The sequence below is a fragment of the Homo sapiens genome, chromosome 7, assembly GCF_000001405.40.
Source record: "Homo sapiens chromosome 7, GRCh38.p14 Primary Assembly".
In the NCBI taxonomy this organism is placed as follows: Eukaryota; Metazoa; Chordata; class Mammalia; order Primates; family Hominidae; genus Homo; species Homo sapiens.
Genome location: NC_000007.14, coordinates 6484223 through 6502444, shown reverse-complemented (window position 1 = coordinate 6502444; position 18222 = coordinate 6484223). Strand labels below are relative to the sequence as shown.

The window sequence follows — 18222 nt, the reverse complement described above, 5'->3', positions numbered from 1 at the left end:
CAGGAGTTGGAGACTAGCCTGGACAACATAGCTAGACCCCAGTTCTACAAAAATAATTAGCTAGGCATGTCACAGGCCTGTAGTCCAAGCTACTTGGGAGACTGAGGTGGAAGGATCGCTTGAGCCTAGGAGTTTGAGGCTGCAGTGAGTTATGATGGAGCCACTGCACTCCAGCCTGGGCAACAGAGCAAGACCCTGCTATTAAAAAAAAAGTGGGGGCGCCAAGAATTCATCATTGATGCCACAGTAGTCCAGGAGAAGCTGGGCCCATGTGACCCCATCTGATGGGGTCCTTGACGGGAATGTATATTGGGGGTCACTTGCAGCTGAACTCCACCAAGACAGTGGATGGGAAGTCCACCTTCCTGCACATCCTTGCCAAATCGCTGAGCCAGCACTTCCCTGAACTCCTGGGCTTTGCTCAGGACCTGCCCACCGTGCCCCTGGCTGCCAAAGGTATGCTGGGTGGGTGGATGGGGAGGCAGAGGCATGCTGTCCTGGGCTGGGAGAGTGGCCCCATGCAGCCCCTGTCCTCTTCCCTACAGTGAACCAACGGGCCCTGACCAGTGACCTGGCTGACCTCCATGGCACTATCAGCGAGATACAGGATGCCTGCCAGAGCATTTCCCCCTCTAGCGAGGACAAGTTTGCAATGGTCATGTCGGCATCCTCTGAGCAGCCTGTTCCTGCACCAGGCTGGATCCTGGGGTGGTTGGGTAGAGCTGGCTGTGGCTCCAGTGGCCGCTGGAGACCTCGACTTCCAGCAGAGATTCTGGACACAGGTTGCTGTGCACCCAGGGGTCCTGGAAGAGGCTCTATCCTGGGTTGTTGATTGATTGATTGATTGATTGAGGCAGGGTCTCACTCTGTCACCCAGGCTATGCCTGGCTAATTTTTGTATTTTTAGTAGAGACAAGGTTTTGCCATGTTGCCCAGGCTGGTCTAAAACTCCTGGGCTCGAGTGATCTGCCTGCCTCAGCCTCCCAGAGTGCTAGAATTACAGGTGTGAGCCACAACACCAGGTCCCATCCTGGATTATAAATTTATTTATTTATTTATTTATTTGTTTGTTTGTTTAATTTTATTTATTTTTTGAGACAGAGCCTTGCTCTGTTGCCCAGGCTGGAGTGCAGTTGCACGATCTTGGCTCACTGCAGCCTCCGCCTCCCAGGTTCAAGCTATTCTCCTGCCTCAGCCTCCCAAGTAGCTGGGATTACAGGCACCCACCACCACACCTGGCTTATTTTTGTATTTTTAGTATAGACATGGGTTCACTATGTTTTCCAGGCTGGTCTTGCACTCCTGACCTCAGGTGATCTACCTGCCTCTGCCTCTCAAAGTGCTGGGATTATAGGCCTGAGCCACTGTGCTTAGCCCTGGGTCATTTATAATCCAAGTGCTTATGCCAAGTCTGTGTGAAACTGAAGCCAGAGCTCTTTTGAGTGCCCCAAAGCCACTGTACCATCTGTCCTCTGGGGCAGTGGAGCCCAGAGCTAAGTGTCAAAATTACAAGGAGCAGCCTGTCAGGCCCTACCAGCCAAAGGCAGTCAGGAGGGTGGGACATTCCCACTGAGCCTCCAAACAGGGCCTGGCCAGTGGGTGACAGAGGCCCAGATGGGAAGACAGGAAAGAAGGGCATGTGGCAGTTCTCGCTGCTCCCCCTCTCTGGCTCCAACACCCCTTGGCAGGGAACACAGGGTTTTCCCTAATGCTGAAGCTAGGTAAGGGGGAGAGCTCTGGGGGCTGTGCCTGTGGCCAGGGCAGTAGGTGGTGAAAGCCCCTGTCACATTCCTCTGACTGCAGCACATGGGGCCTGGTGCGGGTGAGTGTCTGAGTAGGAATTTGATGTCAGATCTACCCCTGCCCTTTCCTCTCAGGCAGGAGATCTGCAGAGAATCACTAAGCAAACTCTACAGCTTGGGCAAGGTGCTTTTCACCCCCATCTTTCACCCACTTCACACCCGGATTTTTGTTTTGTTTTGAGACGGAGTCTCGCTCTGTTGCCCAGGCTGGAGTGCAATGGTGCGATCTCGGCTCACTGCAACCTCTACCTCCTGGGTTCAAGCAATTCTTCTGCCTCAGCCTCCCGAGTAGCTGGGATTACAGGTGCCCACCACCACAACCGGCTAATTTTTTGTATTTTTTAGTAGAGATGGGGTTTCACTATGTTAGTCAGGCTGGTCTCAAACTCCTGACCTCATGATCCACCTGCCTCGGCCTCCCAAAGTGCTGGGATTACAGGTGTGAGCCACTGTGCCCGGCCCACCCAGATGTTTTGCAGATGTGAAAACTGAGGCTGTTTAGGTAAGGGTTAGTCCACTCTAGCATCCCTCAGTCCAGGGGTATTGGCGGCTTCCTTGGGCTTGGAGGTCCCCAGAGAGAAGATGGATGGTCACATTCAAGGGTAGCCTCTGGGCCAGGTGCAGTGGCTCATGCCTGTAATCCCAGCACTTTGGGAGGTCAAGGCTGAGAGATTGCTTGAGGCCAGGAGTTTGAGACCAGCCTGGGCAACATAGGGGGACCGCGTCTCTACAGAATAATTTGAAAATGAGTCTGGCATAGTGGTGCATGCCTGTAGTCCCAGCTACTCAGGAGGCTGAGGCTAGAGGATCACTTGAGCCTAGGAGTTCAAGGTTACAGTGAGGTATGATCACACCACTGCACTGTAGCCAGGTGACAGAGTGAGACCCTGTCTCAAAAATAAAATGAAGGCAGTCCAGGCGCTGTGGCTCACGCCTGTAATCCCAGCACTTTGGGAGGCCAAGGAGGGCAGATCACCTGAGGTCAGGAGTTTGGGACCAGCCTGGCCAACATGGTGAAACCCTGTCTCTACTAGACATACAAAAATTAGCCAGGTATGGTGCCATGTGCCTGTAATCCCAGCTACTCAGAAGGCTGAGGCAGGAGAATCACTTGGACCCAGGAGGCGGAGATTGCAGTAAGCCGAGATCATGCCATTGCACTCCAGTCTGGGCAACAGAGCGAGACTCTGTCTCAAAATTAATTAATTAATTAATTAAAGGCAGCCTCTGCAAAGGAAATTGACCTGGCACATCAGACAGGCATAGGCCCAAATCCTGGCTCATTTCCTTACCTGCTGTGGGACTATGGGCAAGTCAGTTACCCTCTGTGAGCCCAGTTTTCTCATCAGGAAAAAGAGGGGTCATGAGAACCTCTACCACAGTGGTCATTAATTGATGTGACCCTGGTGGGTTCAACCGTGGCTCAGGCACCACAGTGCTTGCTGTGTGATCTTGGGCTAGTTGCTAAAGTCCTGTGTGCTTTAATTTGTTCACATGTAAAATAGAGATAATCTACCTCATAGAGGTGTTAAACGATGATTCAACAAGCTTGGAACAAAGCTCGGCACCATTTTAAGTGCTGAAAAAATGATAGCGATTCAGCCACTGAATCTTTTTGCAAGACTGACCATGTATCAGATGCTATTCTAAGCCCTGGAGGTGCAAGGAGGGAGCGAGCTTTCACTTAGGCAGTAGGAAATGAACTTATGAACAATTTCAGATCATGACAAATGCTCTAGAAAACAGAGTAAGGCCTAAGGCCAGGTGCAGTGGCTCACACCTGTAATCCCAGCACTTTGGGAGGCCAAAGTGGGAGGATCACTTGAGCCCAGGAGTTTGAGACCACCCTAGGCAACATACACCCCATCTCTATTTTAAAAATCAAAAAATTAGCTGGGTATGGTGGTGTAAACCTCTGGTCCCAGCTGCTCGGGAGGCTGAGGTGGGAGGATCACTTGAGCCTGGGAGGTAGAGGCTGGAATGATCTGTGAGCTGTGATCACACCACTGCACTCCAGGCTGAGCGACAGAATAAGACCCTGTCTCAAAAAAAAAAAAAAAAAAAAAAAAAGTAAGGCCTAGAGAGTGACAGAGGGGCCTACTGTAAATGAGTGGTTGGGGAAGAAGGTGGCAGTGGAAGCCTCTGATCAGAGACCCAGGGCCTGGCCCTGCAGAGAGAACAGGGGTGAATGGCCTGAGGCTGCACTGGCTGTGGCCAGTTCCAGGATGAGTTCAGTGGCCAGTGGGACTAGAGTCCCTGAACAGGGCCTGGTTCCCTGTTGGACACAGGGCCTGGCCCTTGGAAGGACTCAGGCCAACCGGGAATAGGGCTGCTAGGGACCTGTCTGTCGGGCCACCACCTGAGACCCTGGGGGCACAAGCGGGCTGGCTGTTTCCTTAACTGAGGCCTGTCAGTCCTTCCTGGAGACGGCCCAGCCAGCACTTCGGGCGCTCGACGGGCTGCAGCGCGAGGCCATGGAGGAGCTGGGCAAGGCGCTGGCCTTCTTTGGGGAGGATTCCAAGGCCACCACCTCTGAGGCTTTCTTCGGCATCTTTGCAGAGTTCATGAGCAAATTCGAGGTGAGCCTCGCTGGAGCCCTGAGGGGCCCTTTTGGAGAGGTGGGGGCCAGAGGCCAAATGAAGGGATCCTCCATGAAGCCAGGGCTGGGAAAGGGGCTCCAGTGAGCGACATGTCCCCCTAACCCCCTGATGGGCTGTCTAGTGTGGGAAGAGACAGGGAAGGCGTCACAGGTTCCTGGGACCACTGACCACCCTACCTCTGTGTTCCCCCTCCCCAGCGAGCGCTGAGTGACCTGCAGGCCGGGGAGGGCCTGCGCAGCTCCGGGATGGTTTCACCCCTGGCCTGGTGACAGTGGCCACACCGCGTCCTCTGCGGCCTGAGCAGGGAGATGGAGGCCGAGAGGGCAGCCCAGACACTGCCGAGGTCCGGGGCCACTGTGCCCCGGGCTCTGAGCACACCGCCAGCCTCTCCTGCAGCTACCTCAGCCGCCGAGCTGTGGTCGGGCCCTCCTCTGCCAGCCCTTGTTCCTACCCCCAGGCCCAGAGCCAGATGCTGTAGGAGCAGGTGCTGAGTGTGCCTGCACATGGAGGACCGTGCTCTGTCGGCTTCTTGGGCCCACTTCCCACTTCGCTCCCAGGCTGTCAGGGGGGCCTGGAGGGTGGATTACAAAGTGGCCACATTCCTGGGACATGTGGACCTTTTTTCTGATCCTGCTCCTAGTGGGTCCCTGTGAGGGGGCCGACACCCTTGAGCACGACCCTGCAGGCAGGCGCGAGACGCGAGAGGGCAGAAAGCCGGATGTAGAGGGGCCCTGGGGATGTGCACGCCCAGCCTGGGCCTTGGAAGCTGGCTTCAGGGACACAGGAAGAGAGAAGCCTGGGAGAGACGCAGGGAAGGAAGGACTGGAGAAGGAAGACCCCCTATGTCAGACTGCGGAATTGAGGTTTCATGCAGTGGACAAACCCAAACCTGTGTAGAGGTGGCCCAATTGGAAGTGGGGAGCCTGGGAGTGGAATAGGTGTGGTCAAGGTAGAGCAGACAGAATGGGGAGGTGTTGAGGCAGGAGGTGAGCAGGATCTGGTGGCCAACTGCCAGACTTCTCACCTGGACGGATGGTGATGTTCCCTGGAGCAAGTCATGAGACCGGGGCAGGTGTGGGGGCAGATGACACAATCTGGGATGTGTTTGGGACCCAAATGGTCATTTTACATGTGCCTAGGCATATAGCAGGAGTTACCTGGATACCAGGAGCAGGAGCAGGTGGCGTGGTGGGCAGGGAGGGAGGGTGTGTGAACTGTTTCACCTTTTTTAAAATTCTCTGATTGACAGATCCTTGGATCAGACAGCTTCCCTCGTTGCACTTTTTTTTTTTTTTTTTTTTGGAAAAGTCTGAAATGGGCTTTAATCCTGTCTCATGGATTCTTTTTCTCCCACTGCAATCAAATGGCTTACATTGCACCTGGGCAGTACTGGGAACCTGTTCAGTTCTTCCCAGTCTCCCCTAGGCCCCTCTTGGAAGCCACCTTTGTTTTTTTGTTCCTTGCACACAAGCACCATACAAAAACATCAAAACCAAAATATATACTGCAAGGGGGATGTGGCTAGTGGGGTACATTTCACCCTAGCAGCTCAAGCAGAATTGTTTCCAAAAGTTCCCAGTGCCTGTGTCTCTGGGAAACATGTCAGGAGGTCAGTTAAAACCTCTGCAGGCAGGGCGTGGGGGCTCACGCCTGTAATTCCAACACTTCGGGAGGCTGAGGCAGGTGGATCACCTGAGGCCAGAAGTTCAAGACCAGCCTGGCCAACATAGTGAAGCCATATCTCTACTAAAAATACACAAAATTAGCCGGGCGTGGTGGCACGCGCTTGTATTCACAGCTACTTGGGAGGCTGAGGCAGAAGAATTGCTTGAACCTGGGGGTCGGAGGTTGCAGTGAGCCAAGATCCTGCCACTGCACTCCAGCCTGAGCGACAGAGTGAGACTCCATTTGAAAAAAAAAAAAAAAACCCTGCATAAGATCTGTAGAGATAATAGACTCCAACAGGCGTGATTTCCAGGCCTGGTTAGCCCACATGGCATTTTCCTGCAAGTTAGAAACACATGTCCCTTCCAGGAGACCTAACCTCTTGATTGCACAGTGTGGCAGGCCAAGCACCAGCTAGGTTTTCTCCCTAGCATGCCTTTTATTGGTTGTTTGCTACAACAACGCTGCATAACAAACTGTCCCAAAACTCACTGGCTTCAAACAGCAATCACTTACTGCTCACAAGTCTCTGGGTCCCAGTTCTGATCTGAGCTAGGCTCTGCATCTTCAGTCAGCTATGAGTCAGCTAGGCAGCTTTGGTAATCATACCAAGCAATCTCATGTCTGGGGCCTTTGGCTGGAAAAGCTGGGATAGCCCTGTGGGGTCTCTCATTTTGCACCCAAATAGCCAGGATTTTTTTCATGAGGGGACTGGGGGTCAAAGAAGGTGAACAACCAAAGGCACAGAAGATGGCTTGAGGCTGAGGCTCAGAGCTGGTACACCGTGCCTTCTGCCACAATCTGCTGTCCATCCAAATGACAAGGCCAGCCCTGATTCTAGGGGAAGGGAAACAGGCTCTGCTAGGAGATATCGCAAAGCCACTCCACACAGGGTGAGGATTCAGGGACAGATGGAGAATCAGGAGCATTTTTGCAATTAATCTACTGGATGACCTCTTGGCCAGGGGTGCAGATCCCAGCCTCCTTAAAATCCCCAATGGCACTGGTGCTGCCTGGACCCAGCACAGATCTGGTTCCCCATCCCCATGTACTCACCAGGTGGCATGCTTCTGTGTCTTACCTGGTCACCCATGAATTACCTGACTTCTATCCAGATACTTAGTCCAGTCTGGGCACAGTGGCTCATGCCTGTAATCCCAGCACTTTGGGAGGCCGAGGTAGGTGGATTACTTGAGGTCAGGAGTTTGAGACCAGCCTGGCCAACATGGTGAAACCCTGTCTCTACTAAAAATACAAAAATTAGCCAAGTGTGGTGGCAGGCGCCTGTAATCCCAGCTACTCGGGAGGCTGAGGCACAAGAATCTATTGAACCTGGGAGGCAGAGGTTGCAGTGTGCCAAGATTGCGCCTCTGAACTCCAGCCCTGGTGACAGAGGGAGACTCTGTCTCAAAAAATAATAATAATAATACATAAATAAATGAAATAGATACTTAGTCCGGTGGGCAGTGTGGTCTGCCTGCCTGGCAACCAGTCTCGCCCTTCTGCTGGGAAAGGATTCCTGTTTCTCGTTTCAGAAATTATCTCTCCCCTACTCCCAGGGCCTGGAGCTGGAGTGATTGGATAAAGATGATCTTGTGACTCTGGCTGTGTGGCTCAGAGTCAGTCCAAGCCTCCGGCTGGCACTGTTTGAAAAAGAGATTCCCTTTGCTCTGGAATTTCTGGGTGTATAGAAGGTAGGAGTCAGGAGGGGCTGCCAAGACCACCATATGAAGGGCACCTGCCTGGATATAAAGCTAGCACAGGAGAAAAAACGGGGAGAAGATCACCATATACATCCCACTGTCCCTGGATCCAGCCATACCTGAAGCACACACTGGCCTTGTCAGTCTTCAAGACAACAGATTCTCCTTACATTTAAAAGAATTTTAAATGTATTTAAATTCCCTGGCTTAGGCTGGTTTGAATGGTTGCTATTACTTACAACCCTGAAAGGGTTAACTAACAGACCCATTAACAGATGCTGATAGATGTTCAGTACTCAGTGAGTGCTCTTCCTTCCTGCACTCATTGGCCAATGCCTTTTTTTTTTTTTTTTTTGAGACAGAGTCTCACTCTGTCGCCCAGGCTGGAGTGCAGTGGCACAATCTCTCAGCTCACTGCAAGCTCTGCCTCCCGGGTTCATGCCATTCTCCTGCCTCAGCCTCCCGAGTAGCTAGGACTACAGGCACCCGCCACCACGTCCAACTAATTTTTTGTATTTTTTAGTAGAGACAGGGTTTCACTGTGTTAGCCAGGATGGTCTCAATCTTCTGACCTCGTGATCCACCCTCCTCGGCCTTCCAGAGTGCTGGGATTACAGGTGTGAGCCACTGCGCCTGGCCTGCTTTTTATATTTTATATATTTTTATTATCATTATTATTTTGAGACAGGGTCTTGTTCTGTCGCCCAGGCTGGAGTACAGTGGGATAATCTCGGCTCACCGCAACCTCTGCCTCTCGGGTTCAAGCGATTCTCCTGCCTCAGCCTCCTGAGTAGCTGGGACTACAGGCATGTGCCACCACGCCCGGCTAATTTTTGTATTTTTAGTAGAGATGGGGTTTCAACATGTTGGCCAGGCTGGTCTCAAACTGCTGACCTCGTGATCCGCCTGCCTCAGCCTCCCAAAGTGCTGGGATTGCAGACGTGAGCCACTGCGCCAGGCCGGCCAGTGCTTTTTAATTGCCTACTGTGTGCCAGGTGCGTTGCTAGGTACCAGCATCTTAGAAGGCAGCCTCTCTGAGTCTGGTTACCTGGGGTTATGTTTTATGGTGGTTCTACCCCAGAGTCAGTGCAAAGCCCTGTATGTGACTCAATATCTGTACCATATCCACCCAGACCCCCTAGTTCCTCACCAAATGACAAGGTGTGAATGCAGGCACTTATGCCTCAGGAATTCATTTATCTCCAATAATACTAACAAAATAACGTAGCCTCACGATACACCACCTTTCCAGATAGTAATATCCGTGAGTGGTTCGTTAGTGTGCTCAGTGTTTTTACGGATTTCATTTCATTTTACTTTCACAAAAACCCAAGGTGGATTTCATTACCTCTTTTTTGCAAGTAAAACTCTGAAACTTAGGAAGGTTATGTGACTTGCTGGATCTAAAACCCAAGTCTGTCTAAATCCAAAAGCCCCATCCTCTGAGTGAAAATAGCTGCCATACACACACACACACACACACACACACACACACACACACACACACACACACACACACACACACACACGTATCAGCACTCTAAGGGCCACAGATGCTGGGGGTTTCAACATAAAACCCTTACTTCTTTTCTCTCTTCCTGTTCCGTCTATTCGTTTGCTAGGGCTGCTATGATAAAAATACCATAGATTGGGCAGCTTAAACGAAAAAATGTGTTTTCCCACAGTTTTGGGGGCTGGAAGTCCAAGATCAAAGTGTCAGCAGGTTGGGTCTCTCCTGAGGCTGTTCTCCTTGGCTTGCAGACAAGCTTTCTCCCTGTGTCCTCACTCGGTCTTTTCTCCCCGGCATTTCTTCCTTCTCCTTCTCTGTCTCCGTCTCCCTCTCCATCTCCGTCTCTGTCTCCTCCTCCTCCTCCTTCCTCCCTCCTCCTCCTTCCTCCTCTATCCTCCTTCTTTCTTTCTTCTTCTTCTTCTTTTTTTTTTAAGATGGAGTCTTGCTCTGTCACCCAGGCTGGAGTGCAGTGGCGCGATCTCAGCTTACTGCAACCTCCACCTCCTGGGTTCAAGTGATTCTCCTGCCTCAGCCTCCCAAGTAGCTGGGATTACAGGCACACACTGCCAAACCTGGCTAATTTTTGTATTTTTAGTACAGACAGGGTTTCACTATGTTGGCCAGGCTGGTGTCAAACGCCTGACCTCAGGCCTGCCTCTGCCTCCCAAAATGCTGGGATTACAGGTGTGAGCCACTGCACTCTGCCTCTTCTTTTTTTCATAAAGACAAGGTCTTGCTCTATCACCCAGGCTGGAGTGCAGTGGTACAATCATGGCTCATGCAGTAAACACCAAGTAATGCAGACATATGGAGGATTGCTCGTGGGTTCAAGCAATCCTCCCACTTCAGCCTGCTGAGTAGCTGGGACCACAGGCATGTAACACCATGCTTGGCTAATTTTTTTTTAATTTTGTAGATATGGGGTCTTGCTATGTTGTCCAGGCTTCTGCCTCTTCGATTAAGGAAACCAGTCCTATTGGATTAAGCCCCCTCCCCATGTGGCCTCATTTAACCTTAATTACCTTTCTCCAAATACACTCACATTCTGAGATACTGGGCGTTAGGACTTCCACATACGAATTTGGTGGTGGAGGGAGAGCGATACAATTCAGTCCATAACACCCTCCTTTCAGGTGCCAAAGATATAATAGTCCTTAGTCTCAAGGAGGCCTCAAAGATTTTTGTATGAGTTGATGATGCTTCACAGAGAAAAGATTCTATCAAGCAGAGGCTGCACTGAGGCTCATGCCTGTAATCCCAGTACTTTGGGAGGTCAAGGAGGGTGGATCACTGGAGGTCAGGAGTTTGAGACCAGCCTGGCCAACACAAAGAAACCCTGTCTCTACTAAAAATAGAAAAAATTAGCCAGGCGTGGTGGTGGGGGACTGTAATCCCAGCTACTCAGGAGGCTGAGGCAGGATAATTGCTTGAACCCGGGAGGCAGAGGTTAGAATGAGCTGAGCTCGTGCAGTTGCACTCAAGCCTGGGCGACAGAATAAGATTCCATCTCAAAAAAAAGAAAAAAAAAGATTCTATCAGACAGGATTCTCCCACCCCATGCCTCTTCTACAAAGTTGTATGCATCGGCTCCCATCCTCATCACAGGGCATCCAGGCCTCCCTCCCCACTCCTCCAATTCAGAGTGAATTCCCTGTCTATGCTGGGCACCTGCCTTCCCAAGCTCTCACTCCATCAGTGACCACAAATCACTATCAACTAGCTCTTTCCCCTTCACTGGTAAATAAACCCTTCCCACCGCTGTCCACGCAGCATGCTGGACAGTTCTAGACCTCGGCGGCTGCTACCCTCTCCTTCCCCTTTTCTTTTCTTTTTTTTAATTGAGATGGAGTCTTGCTCTGTCGCCCAGACTGGAGTGCAGTGGTGCGATCTCGACCCACTGCCTCGGCTTCCCAAAGTGCTGGGATTACAGGTATGAGCCACCGCACCTGGCTTACCCAGGTTCTTAAGAGATAGTTTTACTGGGTGCTATGGTTTGGATGTTTGTACCATCCAAACCTCATGTTGAAATTTGATTCCACCTTTTCCAACTGGGGCTTTGCAGGATGGCTTCTGCAAAGAAGGGTGGCGAGAAGAAAGGTCGTTCCGCCATTAGTGAGGCGGTTACCCCAGAATACACCAGCGCATGGGTGGAGTGGGCTTCAAGAAGTGCCCCTCGGGCACACAGAGAGATCCAGAAATTCGCCATGAAGGAGATGGGGACTCCAAATTTGCACATTGATGTGAGGCTCAACAAAGCTCTCTGGGCCAAAGGAATAAGGAATGTCCCATACCATATCCATATGAAGTTGCCCAGAAAACTTAATGAGGATGAAGATTCACCAGACAAGCTCTATGCTTTGGTTCCTACATATACCTGTTACCACTTTCACAAATCTATAGACAGGCAATGTGGAAGAGAGCTAACCACTGATGGTTCAATACATTAAGTAAAATTATTTTTAAAAAAGAAATTTAGGCCGGGTGCGGTGGCTCATGCCTGTAATCCAGCACACTGGGAGGCCAAAGTGGGCGGATCATTTGAGGTCAAGCATTCAAGACCAGCCTGACCAACATGGTGAAACCCCGTCTCTACTAAAAATACAAAAAAAATTTAGCTGGGTGTGATGGTGTGTGCCTATAATCCCAGCAAAAAGTGAAAATAAAATAAAAAATAAAAACAAGACAAAAATATAAGAAGTTTTCTTTTTTCTTTTGGGTAAAGACTATTAATTGGTATGTAATGGATTGTATCTACCTTCCTATATAAAAGGGTGTTCTGTATTTTTTTGTTTTTTAGACAGTCTCACTTTGTTGCCCAGGCTGGAGTGCAGTGGTATGATCTTGACTCACTGCAACCTCTGCCTCCTGGGTTCAAGTGATTTTCCTACCTCAGCCTCCCGAGTAGCTGGGATTACAAGTGTGCGCCACCATGCCCAGTTAATTTTTGTATTTTTAGTGGAGACAGGGTTTCACCATGTTGGCAAGGCTGGTCTTGAACTCCTGACCTCAGGTGATCCACCCACCTTGGCCTCCCAAAGTGCTGGGATTACAGGCATGAGCCACTGTGCCTGGCCTGGTGTTTTGCCTTTGAAATCACTTTGATGGACTGCCAGTGATGCTCATCACAGTCTAGTCTGATGCTGATTCATTAATAAAACTATTTCATTCTTTTCTACATTTGGAGCAGAAGTTTTACTGGGTTAGCAGGAGATATTATTTTCATTATTTTTTCCCCAACAGTTACAGTGAAGACATCAGCCAAGGCTGCATTCATCTGAAGGCTTGACTGGGGCTGGAGTCTTCCTTCCAGGATGGTTTAATCATTTGTCTGTTGGCAGAAGGCCCCCTTCTGGCTGCTAATAAGAAGACTGTTTCTTACCACGTGGATTTTTACAGATGGCTGCTTTGGTGTCCTCATGAGCAGACAGCTAGCTTTCCCCAGAGGGAGTGGTTTGACAGAGAGGGGAGGAAGCTGCAACACCTTTTAGACCTAGTCTCAGAAGTGACAAGCTGGCATCTCTATCATATTCTTTTTATTAGAAGTCAGTCAGCCAGGTGTGGTGACTCACACCTGTAATCCCAACACTTTGGGAGGCTGAGGTGGGTGGATCACGAGGCCAGGAGTTCGAGACCAGCCTGACCAATATGGCAAAACCTCACCTCTACTAAAAATACAAAAATTAGCTGGATGTGGTGGCACACACCTGTAATCCTAGCTACTTGGGAGGCTGAGGCAGGAGAATTGCTTGAACCCAGGAGGAGGTTGCAGTGAGCTGAGAGCACGCCACTGCACTCCACCCTGGGAAACAGAGCGAGACTCCGTCTCAAACAAAATAAAAGAAGTGAGTCACTGGGGCTGGGCACAGTAGCTCACGCCTGTAATCCCAGCACTTTGGGAGGCCGAGGTGAGTGTATCACTTGAGGTCAGGAGTTCGAGACCAGCCTGGCCAACATGGTGAAACCCTGTCTCTACTAAAAATACAAAAAAATTAGCTGGCTGTGGTGGCACACGCCTGTAATCCCAGCTACTCAGGAGGCTGAGGCAGGAGAATCACTTGAACCTGGGAGGCGGAAGTTGCAGTGAGCCGAGATCATGCCACTGCACTCCAGCCTGGTGACAGAGTGAGATTCCATCTCAAAAAAATAAAAAAATAAAAAAGTGAGTCACAGGCCATGTGTAGTTGGCCAACTGGACAACACATGCCTGTTGTCCTGGCTTCTCAGGAGGCTGAGGTGGGAGGATCACTTGAACCCAGGAGGCTGAGGCTGCAGTGAGCTATAATCAAGCCACTGTACTCTAGTCTGGGTGATGGACCAAGACCCTCTCTCAAAAGAATAAAAAGTCACTAAGCCCATCCCATATTGTAGGGAAGGAGAATTAAGCTGCCTCTCAAGGGAAGTGTCATATCCAAAAGCACTGAACTATTTACATACAAGGAGTGCTAACAATCTGGTTAACTAGTATTACAGGCTGGGTGCAGTGGCTCATGCCTGTAATCCCAGCATTTTGGGAGGCTGAGGCGGGTGGATCACGAGGTCAGGAGATTGAGACCATCCTGGCTAACACGGTGAAACCCTGTCTCTACTTAAAATACAAAAAATTAGCCGGGTGGTGGTGGGCGCCTGCAGTCCCAGCTACTTGGGAGGCTGAGACAGGAGAATGGCGTGAACCCGGGAGGCAGAGCTTGCAGTGAGCAGAGATTGCGCCACTGCACTCCAGCCTGGGCAACAGAGCGAGACTCCGTCTCAAAACAAAACAAAACAAAACTAGTATTACAAATCCAAAAAGTATCACACGTTAGTCCCTGCACAAGAAAACTACAAGTACCCTGAAATCTTGCAGCTCTTCTGTGAAAGAAATGTGAGAGTTTCCCAAATGTGACAGTGGCCCTAAAAATTTCCAGGGTAGTACCCAAAACAAGTAGAGAAGATAAAGGAAATGTTTCCACAGTATCAAAAAATTTTTTTTCAATCAACAATGCTAGAGAAAAGACAATTTTTCTATTCTCACTATAGGAAACATGAAGGGGCAATCAAAGAGTGTACGGTGACAAAAATGTAAGAAAAAGCCAAGCACAGTGGTGTGCACCTGTAATCCCAGCACTTTGGGAGGCTGAGGCAGGAGGATCACTTGAGGCCAGAAGTTCGAGGCTGCAGTAAGCCATGATTGCACCACTGCACTTCAGCCTGGGCAACAGAGGAAGACCGTGTCTCGATGTAACATCAACAACAACAACCAAAAATATATATACACACACTCACATATATATGCATATATATTATATATGTGATACACATATATATGTATATACGCATGTGCATATATGCATATATAAGGATGTGCATATATGCATATATGTGCATAGACATACATGCATATAAATGTGTATGCATATATGCGCATATATGTATATATGTGTATACATCTGTAGAGAAAAGACTATTACAGAAGTGCGTGAGGTAGTTAATCAATAAAAGTATTATTTTCTGAATTTTGTGTTCTTCATTATCTGTGAGAAGAGCTGACTTCTAGTACAACAGTGCAGTTTCCCAGCGTACAGTGCTCTGAAGGGCCAACACTCAAGGTTTAATGTTTTGCAGTCACCATCCTGAAAATTTCAGCTTTGGATTTGTGTTTTGTGAAGCCCAGATGAGACAATGGAGCACGCAATAGAGACTGGAAGCCTGGGCACACACATGGTTCCACCTCTTGCCTCCCCAGGATGGGTTCTCTGAGCAGAGAACCAGTCTAGCAGCCTGGTCTCCCCATTTCTGCCCTTGCCCAGTGACCACTGCTGCCCTCTGTTCAGCTGGGGGCCTGGGCGTGGGTGCAGAGTGCGTCGGGCCAGGTAACAGTGGGTAAGACCAGACTCATATGCCCTGTGCCTCTTTGGGCAGGCCATGGTGGTGGCTGCTCACTGTGGGTGGTGCCCTGGTGCATTTGGTGGGCAATTCAGCAGAGGTAAGTCTCACCCCCACTCCTGATCCAGGTACCTAGCGGGTTCCTTGCATGAAGGTTGCAATACCCTTGAAGGTTGCCTTCTGCCAGGTCTTGGGGTGGTGTTGCATAGAAAGGGGTGATGTCTGACTCAACCTCCCTGCACTGGCCGGTCACTTGGCAGGAGAGGAAAGCAGCACCTGTCAAGCCCAAATGCATATCGCCTCCGCGTTCAATGTAGATGCTCATGTGCACCAGGGGAGCACGTGACTGTCTACACTGGCCCATCTAGCATCCCTATGCCCAAGGTGTGCGCTCAGCCAGCTCTGTGCCTGATGGACCCCCACCCCTTCCTTCCAACCTTCCTGTGTCTGGCCTATGCCTATCTCCTCTGGCCAGCCCCAGGCACACTCCGTGGACAAGCCATGAACTACGAATCATGTACTTTCTTGGATTTTTCATCTCAGTTAAATGATCTGATATTTGCATTCAAAATCGACATTGCCGGTCTGGGCATGATGGCTTAAGCCTGTAATCCCAGCACTTTGGGAGCCCGAGGCAGGAGGATCACTTGAGGCCAGAAGTTCGAGGCTGCAGTGAGCCATGAACGCGCCACTGCACTCCCGCCTGGGCAACAGAGCAAGACTCCATCTCTAAATAAAATAAAGACAAATGGGAAAGTTCATGGTCATTATTAAAATTTTCTAATTCTTCTTTACTTAGAATGACGTTAAATAGCAAACAAGAAATACCGCAAGTCGAGAAAGAGACTGCAAAAGGAAAAAGCTTTATCTTTTAGGATTTTAACAACACTTTCCCGCATTGCGGTTTTTTTTGTTGTTGTTGTTGTTTTTTTTTTTTAAGACGGAGTATCGCTCTGTCGCCAGGCTGGAGCGAAGTGGTGCAATCTTGGCTCACTGCAACCACTGCCTCCTGGGTTCAAGCAATTCTCCTGCTTCAGCCTCCTGAGTAGCTGGGACTACATGCGCGCGCCACCATGCCCAGCTAATTTTTGTATTTTTAGTAGAGATGGAGTTTCACCATGTTGGCCAGGATGGTCGGGATGTTTTTGTTTTTTTTTTTTTTCTTTTGAGACGGAGTCTCGCTTTGTAGCCCAGGCTGGAGTGCAGTGGCACGATGTCGGCTCACTGCAAGCTCCGCCTCCCGGGTTCACGCCATTCTCCTGCCTCAGCCTTAGGAGTAGCTGGGACTACAGGCGTCCGCCACAACGCCCGGCTAATTTTTTTTGTATTTTTAGTGGAGACGGGGTTTCACCGTGCTAGCCAGGATGGTCTCGATTTCCTGACCTCGTGATCTACCCGCCTCAGCCTCCCAAAGTGCTGGGATTACAGGTGTGAGCCACCGCGCCCAGCTGTTCTGGATCTCTTAACCTGTTGATCCGCGAGCCTTGACCTGCCAAAAGTGCCGGGATTACAGGCGTGAGCCAAGGCAGCTGGCCAGCTTTTTTTTTTTTTTTTTTTTTTTTTTTTTTTGAGACAGGGTCTCACTCTGTTGCCTAGGCTGGAGTGCAGTGGTGGAATCTCCGCTCAATGCAACCTTTGGCCCCTGGGCCCAAGCAATCCTCCCACTTCAGCCTCCTGAGTAGCTGGGAGCACAGGTGCGCATCACCATGCCTGGCTATTTTTCTTTCTTTTTTTCTTTTTTTTTTTTTTTTTGTATTTTTAGCAGAGACAGGGTCTTGCCATATTGCCCAGGCTGGTTTTGAACTCCTGAGCTTAAGCGATCCTCCCTCCTCGGCCTCCGAAAGTGTTGGGACTACAGGCATGAGCCACCGCACCAGGTCCTCGCCCCCGCCCTGCTTTTTGAACTGCGAACTGTGCGTTTTTGTTTTGCACTCCGTCCCGCAAATTATGTAGCAGATCCTGTTTGTCAGCTTTTTTTGTTTGCAATTTCTTGTGACGTCCCCATCCCGTAGAAATATTCAAGTTTCTTTTTTTTCTTTTTTTTTTTTTTTTTTTTTTTTGAGATGGAGTCTTGCTCTGTCGCCAGGCTGGAGTGCAGTGGCACCATCTCAGCTCACTGCAACCTTCTCCTCCCAGGTTCAAGCGATTCTCCCTGCCTCAGCCTCCCGAGTAGCTGGGATTACAGGTGCGTGCCACCACGCCCGGCTAATTTTTGTATTTTCAGTAGAGACGGGGTTTCACCACGTTGGCCAGCATGCTGTCGATCTCTTGACCTCGTGATCCTCCCGTCTCGTACTCCTTAAGTGCTGGGATTACAGGGATGAGCCACCGCGCCCGGTCAGACGTTCACTTTTCTACCTAATTTTGGATTCTCTTTCTTAAAGACAGTCCCCAGAATGGTAAAATCTTCAGACCCCTACATAAACTGCATCTTCCACCTCCACCTTCAATGTTGACCTTATCTTGAGTGAGGCAATCAGAAATCAATTTTTTTCCTCTTGTACTTTTTTTTGTTTTGTTTTGTTTTGTTTTGTTTGAGACAGGGTCTCACTCAGTCGTCCAGGCTGGAATACAGTGGTACAATCATGGTTCACCGCAGCCTCGATGTCCTGGGCTCAAGCAATCCTCCTGCCTTAGCCTTTAAAATAGCTGGTACTACAGGCACCCACCATCAGGCCTGGCTAATTTTTTAAAAAATTTTTGTAGAGACGGGGGGTGGAGGAACTCTCATTAGGTTGCCCAGGCTGGTCTCGAACTCCTAGGCTCAAAGGATCCTCCTGTTTCGGCCTCTCAAACTGCTAGAATTTCAGGCATGAGCCACCGCACCCGGCCTTCTCTTACACTTTTTCATACAATAGGCCTGTAGAGCTCTTTTGATATGTGGGAGGAAAGAAAAGATCCCCAGGGAGTGTTATTTCAAAAAAGTAAAGGAAACTGCTGGCACCCGAGGAGAAGCCGGAAACCCGGCAGGGAAAATTTGGCAGAGTCCGGGGTCTTCTTGCAAGGGAGTCCCTGCGAGCTGACCTGCTGAGCCTGCGCTGGGGCGCGCCCCCTTTAAGGGGCGGGGCCTGGCCCCGCTC

The 18222-nt window shown here is 50.1% G+C and overlaps 1 protein-coding gene and 1 pseudogene across 4 annotated transcripts in view, besides 1 other annotated feature; both read left to right on the top strand.

Annotated features, from left to right (window-relative positions):
• GRID2IP (Grid2 interacting protein) overlaps positions 1 to 5667 on the top strand; it is a 54684-nt gene extending 49017 nt beyond the window's left edge. For all 4 annotated transcript variants that reach the window (NM_001145118.2, NM_001388403.1, XM_047420365.1 and 1 more), the window contains 4 exons: positions 327 to 456; positions 546 to 664; positions 4217 to 4381; positions 4600 to 5667. In NM_001145118.2, coding sequence (NP_001138590.1) covers positions 327 to 456; positions 546 to 664; positions 4217 to 4381; positions 4600 to 4671 — 486 coding nt within the window. In that variant the 3' untranslated portion in view covers positions 4672 to 5667. The remainder of the gene's footprint in view (positions 1 to 326; positions 457 to 545; positions 665 to 4216; positions 4382 to 4599) is intronic.
• RPL31P34 (ribosomal protein L31 pseudogene 34) lies at positions 11344 to 11704 on the top strand (annotated as a pseudogene).
• Positions 18147 to 18216: a silencer, noted in NCBI's record as "silent region_17945". NCBI's record gives its function as "represses an Ori minimal core promoter by ATAC-STARR-seq in GM12878 lymphoblastoid cells {active_cell/tissue: GM12878}" and the evidence as "EXISTENCE:reporter gene assay evidence [ECO:0000049][PMID:35858748]".